Below are 23,264 nucleotides of genomic sequence, written 5' to 3' on the forward strand. Positions count from 1 at the left end.
ATGGGGTAGCAGCAAACAATTCAAAGGTGGTGCATACACTCATTGGGCACTAAATGTACGTCAGGCACTTGCCTTATTTCATTTAATCCAGGTGTTCCCAAAAGGAACTATCTGTGGATACACACACCCACCCCCACCCACCCCACTCTCCCCAGACCCCCATACACAGCACTGCTGCTTAGGTCCCATCCTAAGAGATTCTGATTTGATTGGTCCAGGGTATGGTCTGGGTATTAGAATTTGTAAAAGTCCCAGGTGATTCTAGTGTGCAGCCAAGGGTGAGAGCCACTGACTTCATTTTTAATATCCCTTCTAGTAGACACATGGAGAGGAGGTTTCTGATTTTTTATCTTTACTTTCCATCCTGTTCCACTTCATGCCCAAAGGGTAAAATTACTAATTTTCTTGGTTGTAAAACACCTGAAGACACTGATGAGTCATATCTACTAATAGGCAAGGTCACTGAAAATTTTAAAAAGACTGTCTTTCCAGGGCAAGTTTCTTTTCTACCTCCCTGACCATGCAGTTGGTGAGTATACTAAGCCACACAACATTAACCACACAATAACTAACGCTCAACTGGGGATTATGGGTCTCCCTAAACATCCATAGGGTTTATATAATTACTGAATCAAAAAATGTAAGTAATAGTAAGGACACCTAATACCTATATCTCTCACCATTACTTCACTGAAACAGGAAATGCAGAGAACAAGCAAGTATGGAATTCTAAGCATGCTCATTTATTAGAAAACCTTATATGGGTCACTGATTTGCGATTATATTTATATAGAATAATTACATGCATAAGGTAAAAAGTGTTAAATGTCATCAGTGATATTTGGCTAAGCTACTTTTTTCTTCTAAATCACCCAGAGCCTTTGATCTCCAATGTAGCTACTTCAGAACTATTACACTTCTACATTTACTTCCAGGTGCTTGTCCAGCTTTGTCACAAAATACACTTTGTACATGCCCTTGGCGTTTCTTCATAGAACTCTCGGCTATCTTTTGTAACACATCCCTGTGCGTTAATATCATGTGTTCCTCACTTTTTTCTGATTTCTTGACCATGGAGGTTTTGAAAAGTAAATACAAAGGCAGGTTAGAGTTTTCTTTCATGGGCTTCCCCCTGCTTAGGGCTCATTTGTGGGCACGCTATAAAAGGGTCCACTTCTGGCATCCTTCTGGAATCTTTGAAACACAATCTTCCCTCACCAATCAGGGTCTCTTCTTGCCAGTTTTCAGATTCTTTTCTGATTTCTGCCCAATCCCTTGGGCATGATGCTTTGGACTTTCCCATACTGCCCCGCCTGCCTCCCACTGAAAATCCTTTTTGCACTAAGTCTTGCAGCCAGTGCGTCAGCCCCACCTATGTTCATGCCTTTGCTCATAGAAGCCCAGCCTGAGCCATGCCCTGGGCACTACGTCTATTGCCTGGGAGAGGTAGTTGCAGAATGAGAGTGTTTTAAATTCTACTGCCAGTGAAATGGTTTTTCAAAGTTGAAGGAAATAAGGACCATTACAAAAAGTTTCTCATCAAGTTCCTTCCTTTCCTGGCCCTTTCTTTCCCTCTGTCCCTCACAAATCAATAGCTATTTCCTGAATCCTTAATCTACCACTTGGTTCTGACTGTAATTTTCATGGGCTTGAAAGAGGGCTTTATTAGAGTTTCTTAAATAAACATTCTAATTCCAAGATGGAAACCCCCAAACTATTTATTTGATTTTTTTTAACAGGCCTGTGAACAGCTTTCCCTACAAAATGTTTCTAAAATATTTAGATTTCAAGAAAAGTCACTGATAGCCTTAACTTGGATACCTAAGTGGAAAAGTTCTGCTAAGTGTACTCAGCCTGCTTAATGATGGGGAAGAAGCAAGCTTTGTGTTTTCTCTGTAAACAGAGAATCTTTTCCATTTGGCTAAGTAGTTGGAATTTGTAGACTCTTTTTAACTGACTGAAGCACATATAAAGAGCAATAGGCAGGCTCTTGTTCTCAATAATGGAAGCTATCAATGAAAGAATCCTCCACCCCACACCCTACCTCCACATTTCAGTACCATCAACTTGCTGAAAAGGAACTTCCCAGCCATTACTGCAAGGAACATGGTTTCTAACGTTCATGTTATATATAAGTGTTGCCATGGTGATTTCTATTTTTTATCTATTTGCAAATGTCCCCTATGATGGTATAGGTCATGCACTATGCAATGGCGCCATGTCTGAGGGGGTGCTATTCACATCATGGGTTTGTATAGTTATCACGACAAATGTCTGTCATAAGGCAATGAAGAGCCTCCTAACAAAATCAGCATACTGCAACAATTTTCCAATAGATGGCAGAGGTGCCTTTTAATAAGTGACATAAAGGTGACTTGAGGTCATACAGACTAGAGGCCATTCCGTCTAGACACCCTGACCTAGAGCAATGTCAAGAGCAGGTGGGCCTCATGACAATGGGTGGGGGTGCACCAGGCTCTTCTAAATAACTAGATATGTTTCACATGTTGTAAACATAGTCCCAACACAAGTCACTTAAATAAAGAGAACATTCACTTGTTTGTCAGTTCTCAATATCCTTTTTGTTTCTCCCCAACACATTTTCTCAGAAGCTCTTTATGGTGAAGGTTTAGGGAAAAGCAGAGATGTAAAGTTTTAGGAAAAGTATGTAAGGTGACCCCTCCTTTCTGCATTTAAACAATTTCAAAGGTAGATTTTCTTAGATTGATTACAACTTTCTAAAAGGTTTCTTTGGTTATAAAATATAAATACTTGAAATATGTTTCTTGGGAAAGATTCATGAACCTGCAATATATTTTTGTGTTAGTGTTGACCTAGACAAAATGGGCTAAAAGCAATGGACGTTTTGTCCATTACTGAGATATTTCAAAAGCTCTTTCTAGTAGCTTGAAAACCGTATCTTTTCTTTGTAGTTTTATCTAACATCATATCTTTTCACTGACAATGAAGAATATAGCTGATCACATGACATTCGTAAACTAAAAATAAAATCCTAAGCCCCTCATCCAACTGAATGGACCCCCTATTGGCCACGGGGACCCCAGAAAACCTGACAAACTGAATTCCCAGCCATGATAGGAAAGAAGGTTGGACACGCTTCGTTATGCGCCCTCCCTTTTGGAGTTTCGGCACAACTGACTAGCATTAATGTTAAAACAGAGATCATAAGACTCACAGAACAAACTTTTTGTGGCAATAAGACACCAAATTATAAACAAGACCCAAGGCCATGCCAGACTAGTGTTAAGTCACACCCTACAAATCACAAAATCTAATTAAAAGGTTTTTAAAAATTAATCCAATATAATGTGGCTTGTTTTCCAACCTGACTGTGATGTAGCATCACAGCACAGATAACAGACGTCCCCAGTCTCAACTTAAGCATTCCTTTGTACTGACTTCAAGTCATTAGACAAAGCTTAACTCTTTCAACCAATTGCCAACCAAAGAATCCCTAAAACCCAACTCTGACTTCTAAGTCCCTCCTTTGAGACGGTCTACCTTTTCAAACTGAACCAATGTATGCCTTTCATCTGTTGATTTATGATTTTATAATTCCTGTCTTTCTGAAATGCACAAAACCAATCTGTAACCAGATTGCTCAAAATAAACCTCTTTTTATTTTATTCTTATTGGCTCAAAATAAATCTCTTTAAAATATTTTACAGAGTTTCCTTTTTCTGTTAACACGTTTTAGAAACTAAGTTAGTTAATATAATCTGCAACCTACAACACCAAGTTCTAACTTTTATAAAAGTGAAAACACTAACAAATAAAATACTTTATCAGAAGAAGTCCAAACTCAGCACTGCAAAATATTCTGAGTAATTCTTGTGATAAATTTTTCTTTTGCTATCCACATGAATTTCTTTTATTTCAAACTGGCAAATATCTCCTCTAAATATTATCATTTTTATTTCTAATTTACCTTTATTGCTAAATAATAATGTTAATAGACTTGGACTCTTGTAAGTCTGAATTCCCAAAGATCTTAACCAACCTCCTAAGGTTATCCTGCTACCATAAGCCTGCCATTTCAGAAGTGCTGGCAATCTGTAAATGATTTATTCCCTGTCTGAAGAGGAACAGAATTGAAATAACCAATGGATAAAGTCATTTAATGTAATGTAACCAACAGGGTTCAAGGATGCATAGTGACAATGAGGAACCAGCTGCACACTCTCCAGAAGTGTCTGCTGCTTACTGTGCTCGTATGCTTCAATATGCCATGAAAATGAACGTCACCAAAGGGACTCAGGACATAACTGGAAGCTGTTGGCCACTGCTATGGACATGTGAAGCCCAAACAAGAATGATCTATGATCAGCAAAGATAGAACCATACTAGGTGCAATTAATGTGTAGGAGAACCAACGCTTTCTCAGGGGTGATTGCACTCATTTATTTATTAGTCACTATAATTTAATCATTTCACTAAGATTGAGCATAAATACGAAACATTATGTTATTTCCATTGTCTTTTTTCAAAATAATACCCAAATATAATAAAGTTTTAGATTGCTAATAACTTGATAAGAATATCTTTCTGTATTATGTTAATCTAACCAAACTATTCCATGCCCTAACAATATCACTTCACAACCATCAATGGCGCCCAAATCTACTGTATTGAAACATGGTTTATCATACACTTATCTATTGCCCGCCAGACATCATCATTTGCATGCTTTTCCAAAAGTGAATATTTTAGATAATCAAAAAACTGTGCTTGTTACGCTAGTATTCCTTGCTAATTTCTAAAAACATTCAGCCATATCATGTTCCTTCTGATGCTCCAGGCTTACAAATAACCCACCACTTAATGAAATGTCTTGTTTGGCCTAATTCCATATAGTAATTATACAGCCGTGCACTAAAATTTGTTTTCTTTAGAGCTACCAACTTTTTTTCAAAGGAAGTTTTCTCCCATTTTTACTAATACTTGCTTTCTTATTCAGATTTTATAGTGATAGTACCACAAATTATGTACTCAAGTTTTCCACATTTGGGAAACCTATAAGAATAGATACATCTAGAGGCAATGGATTTGTAATTCTGGAAAACCATAGCATTTCCTCTGCCAGGTAAATAGCTTTATACACCTCTTAGTTTATGATACTACATTTTAAAAGTTCTGAATTTATTTACTTTTATTTTCATTTTAACATTCAGTTTATTATTTTTCCAACTATAAGCATAATACATGCTTCTTGTGAAAAAGTATGAAAGTAGAAAGAACCAAGAAAGCAGAGCCTCATCACAAGGACAATGTGGTATGTTAATATATTGCCTTAATTTTCTTACACACACTTTGCAGATTTGTCATAAAATTATAAATGTATGCATGTTACTCTCTTTTGATCACCCCTTAACAACATTTTATTTATTTATTTATTTATTTATTTATTTATTTTGAGGCAGAGTCTTCCACTGTTGCCCAGGCTGAAGTGCAGTGGCACGATCTTGGCTCACTGCAACCTCCACCTCCTGGGTTCAAGCGATTCTCCTGCCTCAGTCTCCCAAGTAGCTGAGATTACAGGTGCTCACCATTGCACCCAGCTAATTTTTATATTTTTAGTAGAGACAGGGTTTTGCCATGTTAGCCAGGCTGGTCTTGAACTCCTGACCTTAGGTGATTTGCCCACCCTGGCCGCTCAAAGTGCTGGGATTACAGGTGTGAGCCACCGCACCCAGCCTACAACATTTTTTTAATAGTTACACAATATTTTAGGGTTAGGATGTATTAATGAAATATTTTAACCATTCCTTTATGAGAATTTGTTGTTTCCAATTTAAAGCTGTTTTAAATAACACCGTAAGATAGACACACACACACACACACACACACACACACACACACGTACACATATATCTTTAACTGTATCAATATATATCTGTTCCTGAAGCTTTTGAAATAATTCATATTTTCTCCTTAGGGATGATTTCTGGGGGTGACGTTACAAGATCAAAAGTTATGAACAGCTTTAAGGCTCTCATCATACCTGGGAAGCCTATAGCACCCTCTGTGGAATGGACAAACCTGGGCTGAGATCCTGGCCTCCCGCCATGTGCTAGCAGTAAGTCTTTGGCATCTTAGGAACTCTCGTTGCATCTCTGTCTCCTCTATAAACTGAGGACAATATCACCTCTACAATGGACTGTTGAGAAAAAAATCATGTATTTAAGTTCCTTGTTCATCGCTGTGCCCCAGGCCTAAAAGGACACCTGTTTATGTTTGATGCACAATAATACATTGGATGAATGAACAAATGTGCTTAGTAGTGTATGTTGCACATTAAAATCCAATAAATAGCAACTTCCTTGAAGGTAGGCAGTAAAATGCTTTCCAAAAATGTTATACTGATTTACATTCCTACTGTATGAGAGGGACTGTTTCACTATTATTTTAATAACACTGAACATTAGTTTTTAAATTTTTGCTAATATTTTAGGTTAAAATGTTCTGTTTAATTTACATTCTTTGAATGGTTAATGAAATTGAACCTATTTCAGCCAGGCGTGGTGGCTCATGCCTGTAATCCAAGCTCTTTGGGAAGCCGAGGTGGGTGGATCACCTGAGGTCAGGAGTTCAAGACCAGCCTGGCCAACATGGTGAAACCCCATCTCTATTAAAAATTCCAAAAATTAGACGGGTGGGGCGGCGGGCACCTGTAATCCCAGCTACTCAGGAGGCTGAGGCAGGAGAATGGCTTGAACCCAGAAGGCGGAGGTTGCAGTGAGCCAAGATCACACCACTGCACTCCAGCCTGGGCAACAAAAGCGAAAATCCAGCTCAAAAAAAAAAAAAGAAACAAAGAAATTGAACCTATTTCCAACTGTTTTTTAACCGTTATATTGTTTTGTCTTTTGTCTACTTATTTGGGGTACTTAAATGTATGAGCTCTTTATATATAAAATATTTTGTTTCTTATATTTATTAGGCAAATTTTATATGTGCTTGCTTTTTAACTTTGATGTATTAGAAATTTTGTTTGTTTTAACACATAAAAGTTTAAATTCTTATAATGTATCAATCTTTTCTTTTATTTCTGTACTTTTTAAGCTTAAAGTCCTTCCAAATCAACAGAGTATATAAAAATTGACTTTTCTTGTACTCTTTTGGGATATGAGTAGATGGAATGAAATAAGGGCTCTAAATGGATTTTTCCTCTCCATCAATGATTGTGTGGCTCATGATGCAGTTTGCCTGTATGGGATCTGTCCTCCCCTTCTCCCTAACTATTAGGCTTTGATTTTGTTCAGGGAATTATTTAAAGACACTAGACTTTCCCAGATTCTCTTGCAACTAAGGCTGCCCATATCACAAAATTCTGGTCAGTGACAAATAAGTGAAAGTCATTGGATGGAGCTTCCTGGACATGAGCAGCCTCAGGCAGCAGGTGCCTGTTTCCTTCCAGAAATGTGCACGAGATGCTGGAGGTGAGGCAGCCATTTTGCATGATGACTAAAGCTGCCCACTAAGAATGGCTGTGCAGAATGATGGAAGGAAGCCCTGAAGGCATCCTGGAGCTTCCACAGCAGCCCTCCCTGCCTATTTTTAGAATCTTTAAGGTGCGGTGGTGTGGGAGAGGTGAGGCTTGGGGTGTGGCAAGGAACAGACTATTTGGTTAAGCCATTGGAAGTTAGGCTGCTATTACCTGCAGTTGTTAATTTACTAACACAAATGTCCAATACTGTTGACTGAAGAATTCTTCCCTCTACCTACATTAAATGATTACATTGTATAGAATATGATTCTGGTTTAATCTGTTTGCTTTTCTTCATCTGTTTAATTTAGAAGTAGTATAACATGATTTCATTATTAGAACTTTTACTTAATTTGAATAGATAGTGTCATTAATTTTCTCTCACTTCTCTACTTTTTGAAACTTTTGTTCTTCTTGGTTGTCTATCCTTTCAGATAAACTTTGGAATCATATATATGTTTTTTAAAGCCTCTGTGATTTTGTTTGGAATTTCATTGAACCTACTCATTAATATGAGAACACCCCTTTAAGGTATTCCTATTGCACACTCAGAAACAGATTAATAACTATCTATTTTCAAGTCTTCTTTTACTTTCACAGAAAAATGTACTATCTTGTTCATAAAGTTCTCGAACATTTCCTGAGCATTTTACCTTCTTTTGCTATTGTAAAAGAGATCTATTTAGCCATTATTTTTCTAAATGGATTATTCCTAGGGCTTGCTTCTTAGATCGAGTTAGGTAAATACTAATAGATAATAGCTGGCCAGTTGGTCTGAATACCATCAGTCTTATCTCTGTTTCATAATAACTAACTTTCGTTTTGTAGAACATCTTCAACTACCTTAGAATTCAATGTAAAAACACAAAGCCAATTACAATTAACTGTGGAATCACACATAGGCTAACTGCTACGGAAGTTCCAGAGCAGGGAGATTAATATACTGCTTGTGACCTTCATCACCTGGCCCAGATAACTCCTCCAGCCATCTGACGTAATCTCTTCACTTCCCTCACCTAGACTTCATTCTAAAGGCTCTTCCCATGTGTCCCCTCTCTCAGGCCAGCTCAGCTCTGCTCCCACCTCAGCAGCACTGTCAGCTCTTGGCTCAGTCAGAACTTGCCATACGTCAGTAAAATTAGGAAACCATTGAGGGTTATGGGAGCAGAGACGGGGGTGTTAAAAGGGGCCTGAGTAGGTAGTGACAGGAAACAACTGGCTGAAGTGGGCTCCTTTTATGAGATGACTGCAGCTCTAAATCATGTGTATGCTCTTTTCACATGTACATACATTATTAGTGGGATAGTCGAGTGTGGTGCAGAAGCCTCTTCAGGTGTTTCATGTGTATACCCCATTTTCCAACTAAATGGTAAGTTAATTGAAGAGACGAATACAGATTAAATTCTTTATAATGCACTCAAAAGAGCTAATTGAGATTCTTGCAATATGGTAAATTGTTGGTATACATGGTATTAACACTCTCAAAAGGTTGTAATAATTTTTTTCTCTATCAGTTGAGCTATAATAGACGTGTTTCTAAACCCTGTACATTTTTCTAAAGAACAGAATAAAGTGATCAAGCAAGCTTAGAATCATTCAAAGCTGTTTGAAATAATCCTAAGGTTTTGCTTCATATACTGAAAATTGAGAATGGATTCTGAAAATGATGTACTATCAGAATAAATCAATTCATAATGCAATCGTGGAGACTAACAGGACAATATGTCAAAGCAAGACAAATCCATACTAATACACAGTTTAGAATGTGTATTTCACCTCTTAATGGCTGAAGAAAGTGTATGCATTTGTTCATACACAAAGCACAAGGAAAATGGAATAGATTGAGGTGACAGTGTTTTTCCTGTCATTAATTCATGTCACTAAAAGCTCTAAATATCACAGATATATTTCTATATTCCAGATATACGAGTGAAAACACTGAAACTCTTTCTTCCCATCCTTCCACGCATCACTTATTAGGCAATGGTTGGTGAAAGCTAACATTTCTATTATATGGATTAAATGTTTGTGTCCCCTCCAAATTCATATGTTGAAGCCCTAACTTCCAATGTGATGATATTTAGAGATGGAGCTTTTGGGAGGTAATTCGGTTTAAATGAGGACATGAGGGTGGGGTCCCAATCCCATGATGGTATTAGTATCCTTATAAGAAGAGCTCTCTCTCTCTTTCTCTCCTCACCAGGCAAGAAGGCAACAGTCTGCAAGCCAGGAAGAGAGCCCTCACCAGACACCAAATCTGCCAGTACCTTGATCTTGGACTTCCCAGCCTCCAGAACTGTGAGAAGTAAGTGTCTGTTGTTTAAGCTACCCATTCTATGGTATTTTGTTATGGCAACCCAAGCTGACTAAGACAACCTCCTAATTGTCTAAGACATTTCTGATACTGAGAACAATCTCCTTCAATTGGCTACTGAGAGTAGAGGAAGCCAGCTTTCTCCCTTGTTATTACTCTAGTAGGTTGGGCTAGGCTTCGTGTGGAATTATGTCATTTTCGGGCTATGGGGGCTTTCTATTCCTTCATCATGATTACTGACAGTGTTTCAGTTCTCAATGTACACAGTCCCTGGCCAAGACATAGAGTAGGACTTAACATCACTGGTCACTGGTTACTCATTTCATCCTACAGGAAAGCACCCCCAACTCCTCAAGAGGCTGCCATTCCAGCTGTGTCAGTAATTAACTCAGTTTAAGAAAAGACTGGAGTTAGCTTTAACTTTGAGATCTATGCTTATAGGCCTAGGAGTCCCCTCAAATCCCCATAGGAGACAGAAAAAAATAACACAAATGAAACATGTAATGCAAAAGGTAGTAGTAAGGACTGAAGGATGCATGCCTCATCTAAAAGCACTAAGTAAAAAATTCTTAAACACAAAATGTGTAGGCCAAACAAAACAGGTTTAGGGCTGACACAAGGAGGGTCCAAAGTGTATGGGGGAGAACTGGCTTCCAAAAGGACAGAGTTCCTGAGACTAGAGGAAAGTAGGTAAGTGAGAAAAAGGGTGAGAGGCAGGAAGCTGAGGAAATTCATGTTTGACAGTTTCCATATTCTTTCTGAGATAGGGATACAACTGGTTCCAAAGAGATTTAGGGCAGGGAGTAGTTTACCAAAGAGATGAACGTCTGGTATAATCATTGTGAGGATGGGAACAAAAAGCAGCGGGCACATGAATGTGTTGCTCAGCAGGCTGAGGGCCCAGCTGAGGTTGGAGACCATAATGTGGTGGAGCCTACTCCAGTCTTCTCTGAATCCCCAGATTGAAATCAGTTTCCCCTCTTCTGCCCCCACAGAATCCAGGGCATCTTGTCACTTACTATGCACAACTGAAATGATCAGTTTATGAGTCTGTTCTATTAGAACCACAGCCCTTTGAGGCCAAGAACATTTACTTTCAGACCTTTGCAGAGAGTCTGACATGCACCAGATGGGGCTGAAATGGACAAGCTTTGGCTCACCCAGACTGACACAAGTGGCTCCAGAGGCCTAAAGAAACCTAGAAACCACAGTCTGCTTCAGGTGGAATACTGGGATATGACACAGATCTCTTAGGAAAGAACACCAGCACCCCCAGCTCTGATGTTTAATGGAACACGGTTAATATCCTGGTTCTAGCTCTTAGCAGACATGAAATCCTGGGGTAACAGCACACAATCTCTGTGAACCTCAGTTTTGTCAACCATAAAACATGGATTATAATACCTACTTCCTTAAATGAGATAATGTATGCACAGTCCTTAGCATAAAAACTGGCATAAAATAAGTGCTCAATAAATACTGGTTCACTATCCTCTTTGGAGAGATTTTCCTGGTATTTCAAAAAACAACTTTCCCTACGTGGATGAGGGAAGGGATTCAGGCAAACCTCCGGCATTAGAATCACCTGGGATGTTTATTCAAACATGTGAATTTTCTGGGGGTGGAAGCCAGGAATTAGCATTTTTAACAATCATCCCAGGTGATTCTTACACTTAGTTAAATTTCAAGCCACTGGATTATGAAGCCTTCCAATTTAGTTCCTTTGTTTTTTTACTCCCACTGCCACCTAAGTAGTCCTAGTAACTTCCCACAATGCTCTGACTCTTGTCCACCTCATTCCAGTCCTACACACTACTAACTGATTTTTCTTCCTAAAAGGCAATTCCAATTATGCTATGTCCTGGAATCAAAATCTCCAAGGGCTACACCTTGCCTGCCAAATCCTCACATTTGTACCTTGCCAGTCTTAATGCTCCTGCCTACTCCCTTACTGGGTTCCAGTCAAACAGGTCTACTAACTGTCACAGAACAAGCCCTATGCTTCAACTTCTCTTTGTTTCCACACAAAAGCCACACTCCGCTGCCCCAAGTCCTACCCCTTCCCTCAAGGATGATTTCATCTGCTATCTTCCCTATGAATCTTTGCCTGATCTCTTGCATTGATGTGATTTCTTTCTCCTGTGAGCTCTTGTCATTTTTTTTGGCTCTCTTACAATGTTTTTCACATTCCACCTTATGTTATTTTATACTAGCTTTATCCTCTCTGCTACGAGTTCCAGGGAAACAGGGACTACGTTAGCAAACATGGTGCCTAGCACAATGGCTGGAACAAAGTTGGGTCTCAACAAATGTTTGCTGAGTATATGAATGAATTCACATGACTGGACTGTAAGTCATGAGAGCAGAGACTGTGCATTAATTTTTTTGTAACTCCTGCATCACTTAGCAGTGTTTTCTATCCAGTAGGTGTTAGAAATGTGGTGACTTAAATTTAACATTTGGTGACTTTTTCCCCTTTGATGACAAATTATTCAAAAAATACAACACAGCCAAGATTTCAATACTGAATGCTGGCATTTACTGGTTCCTTTTTATAGTAATAACCATGACAATCGTTAGAATCTTAAATGGAATATGCTTCCCTATTTAGGAATACTAAAATTATACTAAAGTAAGGTGACTATTTTCTCTACAGCTGAGACCAACAGTTATCCTGTTTTACTTCATGAGACAAACTTAGATTCTAACTATAGTCCTTTTATAGCATGTGACATAAGAAGCTTTCAAAAATAGAATTTCTATTTTCATTTGAAATACTAAAAAATTTCTAAATACAGAATAGGTTTAATACACATATGTGTGTATATGCATATGTATGTCTATATACAAATATATAGCCAATTACTTTTTAAATTAAACCTTTTGAGATTATTGTAGATTCACATACAGCTATAAGAAATAATTCAGGGAAATCTCATATACCCATTGCCCAGTTTTTCCCAATTGTAACATCTTGCAAAACTATAGTATTAAAATATCACAACCAGGACATTGGCAATCCAATCCACCAATCTTATTCAGATTTTTCCAGTTTTGCTTGTACTCATTTACGTGTGTGTGTGTGTGTGTGTGTATACATTTTAGTTCTATGCAATTATCCCAGTTTTGCTTGTATTCACTTGCATGTGCTTGTGTGTACATTTAATATTTAATTATATGCAATTTCCCCAATTTTGCTTATGTTCCCTTGTGTGTGTCTGTGTGTGCATTTAGTTTTATGCAATTTTATCATATGGGTAGCTTTGTGTATCCAGAGCCACAGTGAAGACACAGAACACTGCATCATCACAAGGATCCTTTGTGTTGACCTTGTCCAACCATTCCCCTGCCTTCCCTAACTCTGTATCCACTAATCTGTTCACCAATTGGAATCATACAGCATGTAAACCTTTCGGGATTGGCTTTTTTTACTCAACATATTTCCCTGGAGATTCATCCAAGTTGTTAATTATCTCAATAGTTCATTACTTTTTGTTGTCACCTTATTAACTAAAGCCTATAGTTTACATCAGGGTTCATTCTTTGTATTGTAAATTCTGTGGGTTTTGACAAATGTATGATATCATGTGCCCACCATTACAGTATCATATAGAACAGTTTCACCACCCAGAAACCCCCTGTGCTTCACCTATTTATTCTTCTACCCGTCCCCCTCAATCTCTGACAATCACTGATCATTTCACTGTCTCTATAGTTTTGCCTTTTCCAGAATGCCATATAGTTTGAATCATACAGTATGTAGACTTTCATGCTAACTTTTGCACTTAGCAATATGCATTTACATTTTCTCCATGTCTTTTTGTGGCTTAATAGCTAATTTTTTTCATTGCCAAATAATATTCCCTTGTATGGATGTACTACAGTTTATCTGTTAACCTATTGATGAACATCTTGGTTCCTACCAATTTTTAGCAATTATGAATAAGACTGCTATATGTATTTGTGGGAAGGTTTTTGTGTAGACATAAGTTTTCAACTCATTTCGGTAAAAACCTAGGAGCGCAGTTGCTGGATCATATGGTAAAAGTATGTTTAATTTTCTAAGAAACTGCCAATTTGTCTTCCAAAGTGGTGGGATCATTCTGCATTCCCATCAGCAATGAATAAGAGTTCCTGTTGCTCCACATCCTTGCCAGCATTTGGTGTTAGTATTTTAGATTTTAGCCAGTCTAATTTGTATGTAGTGGTATATCACTGTTTTAATTTGCAATTCCCTAATGACAGGTGATGTTGAGATTCTTTTCATACGCTATTTGCCATATGTGTATCTTCTTCAGCGAAGTGGCTATTCAGATCTTTTGCCCATTTTAAAAATTTGGGCATTTATTTTCTTATTGTTGAGTTTTTAAAATTCTTTGCATATTTCAGATATAAAAATTCTTTGTATATTTATATCTTTATCAGATATGTATTTGATAATTAATTTCTTCCAGCCTGTGACTTGCCTTTTCATTTTCTTAACAGTGTCTTTCACAGAACAGAAGTTTTAATTTTAATAAAGTTCAACTTATAAATTTTTATTTCACTGGTCATGCTTTTGGTGTTGCATCTAAAAACTCATTGGCAAACCCAAGGCCATCTGGATTTTCTCCTGTGTTATCTTCTAGAAGACTTATAGTTTTGCATGGTACATTCTGGTCTATGACTCATTTCAAGTTAATTTTGTGAAAGGTGTAAGGTCCCTGTCCAGATTCACTTTTTTCATGTGTGCATATCCAGTTGCTCCAGTACTATTTATAAAAAAGACTACCCCCTTTCCACTGAATTGCCTTCGCTTCTTTGTCAAAAATCAGTTGACTATATTTTTAAGGGTCTATTTCTGGGCTCCCTATTCTGTTCCATTGATATATGTGTCAGTTCTCTTGCCATTACCATACTGCCTTAATTACCATCTTTATAGTATGTCTTGAAGTTGGGTGATGTCAGTCTTTTGACTTTGTTCTTCTTCTGTATTGTGTTGGCTATTATGGCTATTTTGCCTTTCCTGTAAAATTTATAGTCATTTTATTGATATCTACAAAATAATTTACTAGGAATTTGCTTTAGATTAAATTGATCTATACTTTATCTACAAATCAAGTGAGAAAGAACTGACATCTTAACAATATTGAGTCTTCTTATCCATGAACATGGAATATCTTTTTATTTAGACATTCTTTGATTTATTTGATCAGCTTTGCAGTTTTCCTCATATAGATCTTGTACATATCTTGTCAGATTTATACACAAGTATTTCATTTTTTGATGCTAATGTAGGCAGTATTGTGTTTTACATTTTAAATTCCAATTATTTATTGTTGGTATATAGGAAAACAATTGACTTTTGTACATTAACCTTGTATTCTGCAACCTTGCCATAATCACTTATGAATTCCAGGAATTTGTCAATTATTTGAGATGTTCTACATAGATAATTGAATCATCTGTCAACAAAGACAGTTGTATTTCTTTCTTCCCAATAACTTTAATTTCTTTTTCCGGTATTATTGCAATTGGCTAGGACTTCCAGTACAATGTTGAATTAGAGTGGTGAGAGGGACATACTTTCCTTGTTCCTGATCTTGGGAGAAAGCATCTAGCTTCTCATCATTATATATAATGTTACCTACAGGCATTTTATAGATATTCTTTATCAGGTTGAGAACATTTCCTACATTTCTAGTTTCCTGAGAGTATTTATCATGAGAAGCTGTTGGATTTTGTCAAATTTTTTTCTGCATCTATTGTTATGATAATATGATTTTTATTCTTTAGACTGTTCATGCCATGGACTACATTAATTGATTTTTGAATGTTGAACTAGTCTTGCATACCTTAAATAAATCTCACTTGGCTGTAGTATATAATTCTTTTTATACATTTTTGAATATAATCTGCTAATATTTTATTGAGGATTTTTGCATGTGTAGTCACAAGAGATATTAGTCCGTAGTTTTCCTTTCTTGTAATGCATTTGTCTGCTTTTGGTATTTGGATAATGCTGGGATCACTGGATGAGTTAAAACATGTTTCCTCTGCTTTTTTTTTTTCAGAAGAGATTGCAAATTCTTTGGGATATTTTAGTAGACAATATGTATGTCTTTTCTTGTTTTTCTTTTACTGAAGTGACTAGTATTTCCATACTATATTGAAGAAAAATGGTGAGAATGGACATTGTTGCATTGTTTCTGATCTTAGGAGGAAAACATTCAGTCTTTCACCTTTACACATTTGTTAGCTGTAGGATTTTGTAGATGCTCTTTAACAAACTGAGGTGATTCTCCTTATTTCTAACTTGTTTAGATTTCTATCAATAATGGGTGTTAAATACTATTTCTGAGCTTCGTATAATTTTTCTTCTTTAGCCTGCGGATTACATTGATTGCTTTTCAAATGTTGAACTAGCTGTGCAATCTAGAATTAATCTCACTTGGTCATGATATAGTATTGATTTTATACATTTGTGGATTCAATTGTCAATATTTTGTTGAGGATTTTTGAGCCTATGTTCATGAGAGATATCAGTCTGTAGTTTTTTTTTTTGTTTTTTTGTTTTTTTTGTACAATCTTTGCCCAGTTTTGGTATTCGGGCAATACTAGACTCAGAGAATAACCTGGGAATTGTTCTCTCTCCTATTTCCTGAAAGAGATTATGTAAAATTGGTGTTAATTCTTCTTTAAATATTTGGTAGAATTTTCCAGTGAAACCATCTAGGCCTAAAGATTTCACTTTGTGAAACTTATAAAATTATGAATTCAACTTCTATAATAGTTATTGAAGTATTCAATTATGTATTTCATCTTGGTTAAGTTTGGTTTAATCACCTTTGATTGTTAATTTAGATGTCAGTATTTCTCACATTTACTAAACAAATGACTATAGCAACATTTGAAAAAAGCAAATGACTTTAGTTTAGTGCCCTGACATAATATATACAAAATCCACAGACAGTTTTATAGGCAAAAGTTCTGCAAGAGCAGGCAAGTGGTACATCTTATAATGTAAAAGAAAAAAAAAATAGAAAAGGCAGAGTGTATGTGAGAAGAGCGTCTCGCAGGTGATATTTGGGGATGCTGTGTCACTCAACGGTAAGGAAGCTGTTACTGATGGCTATTATTGTGCAGCACCAACATGACCCTGAGTTGATTTTATATAGTTAAGCCTTGTATAAGAATGCAAAAGAGATAAAATGGGTATATTGCCATTGTCCCTCAAATGGATGACTATGAGTGGGGATCAAGGTCAACAGACATTTTGCCTACTATGTTTAGAAGGCATTCAAAGTGTTTGAGACATTTCAGCTCACAACAATGAAATCAGTCAACCAGAGAGCTAGAATTTCAGAGTTATAGTATGCCCCAGTTCAAGAGTTTGTAATTAATAGCACATATGCTTAATCAAATCCAAGTACAGCAAAAAAAAAAAAATTCATTATAAATAATTATTTTATCATCTTAGTAAAAGGCAAACTTGTCTAAGGCCCTCAGAAAACTAGCAGATTCAATACCAGTCAAACCTCATTATCTCCACACCTCTGCCTCCCGGGTTCAAGCGATTCTCCTGCCTCAGCCTCCCGAGTAGCTAGGACTACAGAAGCCACCACACCCGGCTAATTTTTTGTATTTTTAATAGAGGTGGGGTTTCACCATGTTAGCCAGGATGGTCTCGATCTCCTGACCTTGTGATCTGCCTGCCTTGGCCTCCCAAAGTGCTGGGATTACAGGCATGAGCCACCGCGCCTGGCCAAGCTTCAAAATTTTTATAGTGGGACCTAGAGAATTAAGGAGTCATTGACTTAAAAAGGAGATTTCCATTAGAAAGTTTGATTGAGTGATGATAATAAATTTTACATAGATAAGTTTGCTGTCTAAGGATATCATACTAGATGTTTATATTTACAATAAATTCCTCAGAGGTAGGAAATATGCCTTACTTGGTTTAGTAGTGTCTCTACTGCCTAAGCCAGAATAAGTCCTTAATAACTTTTAAAAATTATTTGTGGAATTGAAACTGTGAAGCAGACGTTTTGAAATGAGAGTGTAGAGGGAGAAGAACAGAGCATGAGCTCTTTTCATCTGAATCTAATCGACATGGTTTGGTGCAGCCTAACAATGGGAAGAGCTAGGAATGAGAAAAGTCCATTGAACCCTTAAGAGAGGTAACATAATATATAGAAAAAAAAGTACTTGATGAGAAGTCAGGGAATTTGGGTTCCAGTCCCAGTCCTACAGTCTTAGGTAAGTTATTTCATTTTTCTGGATTTCTCTGTTTATAAAATGTGGGCATTGGATTAAGTAATATTTAACAATCTTTCAACCTCCAATGTCAAGAGTTAAAAAGACTGGTGACCTTCACAGGAGAGGACTTATTTGTTGAGTTTTCTATCCTTCACAAAAGAAGAAAAAGTGATTTCAGTATTTTCAAATGGGCTTCTTTTAGAAAAGAGCAAGCTTGAGAGCAAGCGCAATGCCTTAGTCCACCCTGTGTCCTCCACATTTCTCAGCATGGCTAGCATTCAGCAGTCATTCTCAATGCTGGTCAGATTGTCTCCAGAGATGTTGCTAGCTTTCATCTTCAACGACTTCCCCTCCTTTAGTAGCTTTGTCCTCTTGTTGGAGAGTTCACTGACTCAAGTTAGAAGTGACCTCAGTTATATAACAGTTGTTTTCAAGAAACTTCCACACACATACACAAAAGTGGTCTAAAACTGTTCTTATTCTCACATTTTGGACTGTAATTACATGACAACAGATCCCATTAAAATAAAAATGTCATTAAGAAAGAAGAGTCCCATATCCAAGTCAATAGCCTATTTCTTCGAATATATTCACTACTATAAAATTTCAGAGCAATTCAAGAATTGGATAGTCCTTTTGGTGTGGAGATAATGCAAATTAAAATAAACAACTGATTTGTAATCTTTTTGGGAGAGAATGAATATGTGTTTCTAAATTAGAGTATTTAATAAGAATATAAAGATACATTTTCTTGGCTATAGGCTACTTTTGATATATGATGTCTGAACAAAAGTATATGAACAGTTGCCAATTAATATATGTCTAATATAGGCAGATATTCAAACAAGCATTGAGCAATGTTATATAAATGCTGGCAGGGTAACTTGCTCCATTATTAGATAAATTTTGAAGACGCTATTTAAATTTCAGTCATGAAACAATCAGTGCCAATCTGATCAAATGATTGCCAAAGTTAGCATTAACCATAGTAGAGAAGCATTTGAGGAAAACGTAAAAATGTTATTTTCTCTGTCTCAGATTCTCTTATTGCTGCTTGAACTCTAATTTGAATACCTTCTTCTCAGAAAGAGGCCACAATTAGAAGAGCAACAGGGTTTCATGTGGCAGGAAGAAAGTAGTACTGTCATATCCCATCAATCCTCTAAGCACCCAATCTTAGAGAAAATTCATTGCACTCTCTTCTGCCAACTCCAAAAGAGATTTTCCCAAGAAATGAGTTTCAGGCAATTTTAGTTCCCATCACTACTGTCCATTTGTCATAACTGAAAAAAAAATCCATTATATTACAAAAAGATACGGTTATCCAGTATTTGCTAATTATGATTGAGACCAGAAACATACAAAGTTTCAAAGAAAACAATTGAAGAGAACATCTGAAAGTAATTTCCCTCCATTCTTTGTTGTTCTGCTACTCACGGCAAATCTTCCAAACTGGAGGCTTCATGTCTTGGATCCAAAAGATCATAACCACATTCATTGTAGATTTCCAAATAGGAAATGTGTGTTGTATATATTTTGCTGCTGTCCTGATTGGAAAAGGGAAAGGTATTATTTATCGGTTATAACAATGATTCTGCTTAGATGAAGATGAACACATTTAGCACTCAGTTTCCTCATAGTTTCTCTCTTTTTCTCTCACTTTATATGGTTTACATTTTCAGTTCATGACACTTTCAAGTTGCCAGTTACCATATGCATGAAGCTTTTTTTAATGGCCAACACCCATGATTACAAGCAACTTCAGTCTGTTATTTTTTATTGGTTCCACATTATACATAAAAAGTCAATATACACTTACAATGAGCCAACTTGGTTGCAGAACTGTATAACACACCATTTTTTTTACTTTCCAGACCAAAAAAGGTTACTAAAAAAAATAAACATATTCTGTGAATAGTCTATTCATAAAAAAGAACACAGATCATTACTTTGGTTTAAAAATTTTAGGAGCAAAATAGTTTCCATCTTTAATCATCATTCTTTTTCTACTTTTCTAATATTCAATATTTTCTGATGACATAAATAGATAACAATGAAAGTGACATCCAGAGGACAGAAAATAGTTGATTAGTCAGGTATGAGTGGACATTAATAGTTCACTGCCAATACCTCACCTGTGGAGTTAATTTTCCTGGCCCAAGAGGGCAAATCAGAGATGTTTAGCTATTAGATAGAGAGAAATGAGAGAAATGTTTGTGGTGGGTCACTGCTGAAATGCAATGACATAGGCATCAATGTAATGAGGCTAAAAGTAAAGGTGCCTGGTCCTAGTCTCAATTCTGCCAATAGACAAAAATGACCCATTCCCTCTGAGGTGGAATAAAATAAGGAATTTTTTCAACTCTTGAGAAAGTTCAGTTTTCAATACAAAATATCAAACAATAGCACCTTCTTTTTCTTCCTCCAAAAATACAAATGCTTCCATTTCCGCAAATATTATCATGCTTCTCATAAGAGGAGAGTATATTTGGGTCTTGTGGCAAGCAGGTTGCCAGGGTGTCAGAGTGTATACTAACAGAGAATTTGCTTAGGATGACTTTCCTGATTGATTCTCACCCATTTCCAAGGCAATCCATTTAATAGGTTTTGTTCAAAGGGAGAGAGGACCAAGTCACAGAGATAGGAGAGAGAATAGTGGCCCATAAATAAAAAGCTGGACTCCTACTCTAACTAGAGTTGAGCCTCTACCATGTCAGGCCTTCATTTTCAAACTCATTAAAGTGAGGAAGTTGGCTAATAAATCCCTATCTGTTCTTCAGTGTAAAATGAATGATTCTTTGGTTCTAAAATGGCTCCAATTATCCAAATAAAGATACTGTCATTTCAGAAAAACAAAATGATAAATGAACAATTAAAGCAACTCTCAGCCTTCCATGACTATAATAAAAACACTCAAGCTACAGCTGAAATTCTATATTCCGGTGTTCTGTGAAGGTGACATGGACCGAATTACCAAGCAATTTTTTTTCAGCGTAATGCTGAAAATTCTTCTGATGTGGATGACTCTAATGCTTATCCCAACAAATGGCCTATTGATTACATTAGTATCCTAGTTTAGTAAAGGTACTATTTCAATATAATTCTTTGGGTTATAACTTGGCTTAGCACAGGTGTCAGAGACTATAAACACTAAAAAGACTTGGTGTGGCTGTTAGTCTAATCCAATGTTTCTAAAATATTCCATGGAATACTCCTGGAAAACAGAGTTCCATGGTCAACATATACATAGACTCTGTCCCTCTCTGCAGCATGTCAAAGGCCCTAGGGGATATTTTGGCAACATTCTGAGATCCTGTTTAAACCAACATATTTTTAAAATTTATCCAAAATATCTGAAATAACCCAGAGATTATGATTTGAGAGTTTAGTATACATTTCTGAGTTCTTCTTAGCATCAGATAACAACTGAGTTTGAATATTGAAACTCCATTTATAACAGAATAATCCCACACCCTTATCCTCAGCTGTTTCACCATAAAAATGGGGATAATAGCCCTGATCTTGCATTCTGTTATAACAGAGAAATAAGATTCTATATTTAAAATCTTACAAAAGTGTGTGGCCCATAACAGATATCAACTAATCATTGTTGCTGCTGTTGCTATTATTATTGCTGTAGTTATTGTTTTTATTATTATTTCTAGAAGCCTTCAAATGGAGAATTCAGTATATGAATATAAAAGGAAAGGAAAATAAAAGCAAAATGGACAGCCAACTTGTATGTTTATCTGCAGTGGAGAAAATCTCTTCTTCCAGAAGTTAGAATAAATCATAAAACGTCAGGAAAACAGCAGGTCCACTGCCCTGAGGTGATAGGGATAATGTCTTTGGCTCTTTCAGCTTCTGCATTTTCTGGACTTTCATTGGAAAATACACTTAAAATTCACTGAGCTATGTGGCAAGCTACCTTTCCTTATTACTCCTTTTTAGTGTTTAGGATTGCCAGACTGTAATGTAACACACATGTTTCCTGCAGACAGCCTTTTCTCCTGCCCCAAAACAAGTTTGAAACTCACAATACCAAAAATAATGAGAGTGATTTCTAAAATAAATGGCATCAATTTTCTTCTCTTAAAATCAGTGAAAATGTACTCCTGGCATACTCATAGACATTTCAGGACCCAGTAGGCACTGGGCTCTTACTGTATCTTGAAATGAAGACTTTGCATAGGTCAAATGTTTCCTTTAAGAATTCTAGAGAGCTCCATGTACCTCTCTAAGGCAATCAGCTGGGGACCTCTGAGTACTAAGCTGCATTTTCCAGCTATACAATATGAACAAACTTCATGATGCACTTCAAGTTGCTTGACCAGTTTCACCGCAGCTGTTTGATTATAATGAATGTGTTATGCCCCATCATGAAAATATGTTCATTTACAAAGAGTTACTCTGGCTTTAAATTGCTCCAATGGGCTCGCTGCAAGTCCAGGAAGTTATTTAGGATCATTCAGAATGAAATGGAGTTTACGGTAATGTCAATGACAAACAGATCTAAAACAATGAACCTGACAAATGGTAAGTACTAAGGAGACATTTAGACATTTGGATCTATACTTTAGTAACCATAGATAAAAATTTTAAAGGGACAAAAAATATTTTCCTTTGGGAGAGGATGAGTTTATTCTATTTAACTTAATCATGGATTTGGCTTCATTTGTTTTGAGAGTTTCAAGGGTTCTCTGAAATTGGTCAGGGATCACTTGGCCACATTAATATCCATATGTGGATATTACTGGCTGTGATCATAACTATCATGTATTGAGCATATACTGTGTGCAAGAATCTGGACAATATCTTTAAATACAGTATGTTCAGCCCCTCACAGCAATCCATAAGACTGAGGCATTAAGTAACCGCCCCAAGGCCACATGCTGTAAGCAGTACACTTTCTCAGAACCAGGTTGACCTGTACCTCCAGTGATCTTTCTAAGACAAAAGGATTCCACATTAGGCCACAGCAATGAAAACTATTAGGAATTATATTCCCAGGTTGTGAAATGTGGGAACAAAACAGGCAATGTCAGAAATAAGTGAGTAAATGAAAAAAGGGCTTTGGATCCAACATATATGCTATACTCAATCCTTTCTCATCCAAATTTTCTGGCATGCAAAGCTGGCATGTTTGAGCTAGAGAAAGATGAGCTGAACTAATGGATAATTGCTACTTTATGGATGGCAATTAGA

General features: G+C 36.6%; 1 protein-coding gene and 1 pseudogene across 9 annotated transcripts in view; both read right to left on the minus strand.

Annotated features, from left to right (window-relative positions):
- The window catches only part of KIF6 (kinesin family member 6), a 395,419-nt gene that overhangs the window by 285,363 nt on the left and 86,792 nt on the right, over positions 1 to 23,264 (minus strand). For all 9 annotated transcript variants that reach the window (XR_001743238.2, NM_001289020.3, NM_145027.6 and 6 more), the window contains exon 5: positions 19,497 to 19,606. Coding sequence is in view for 8 of the 9 variants with exons in the window: in NM_001289020.3 (NP_001275949.1) it covers positions 19,497 to 19,606 (110 nt within the window). In the remaining variant the exon portion in view is untranslated. The remainder of the gene's footprint in view (positions 1 to 19,496; positions 19,607 to 23,264) is intronic.
- On the minus strand, positions 4,993 to 5,112 carry RNU1-54P (RNA, U1 small nuclear 54, pseudogene; annotated as a pseudogene).

Source organism: Homo sapiens, chromosome 6, assembly GCF_000001405.40.
Source record: "Homo sapiens chromosome 6, GRCh38.p14 Primary Assembly".
Lineage (NCBI taxonomy): Eukaryota > Metazoa > Chordata > Mammalia > Primates > Hominidae > Homo > Homo sapiens.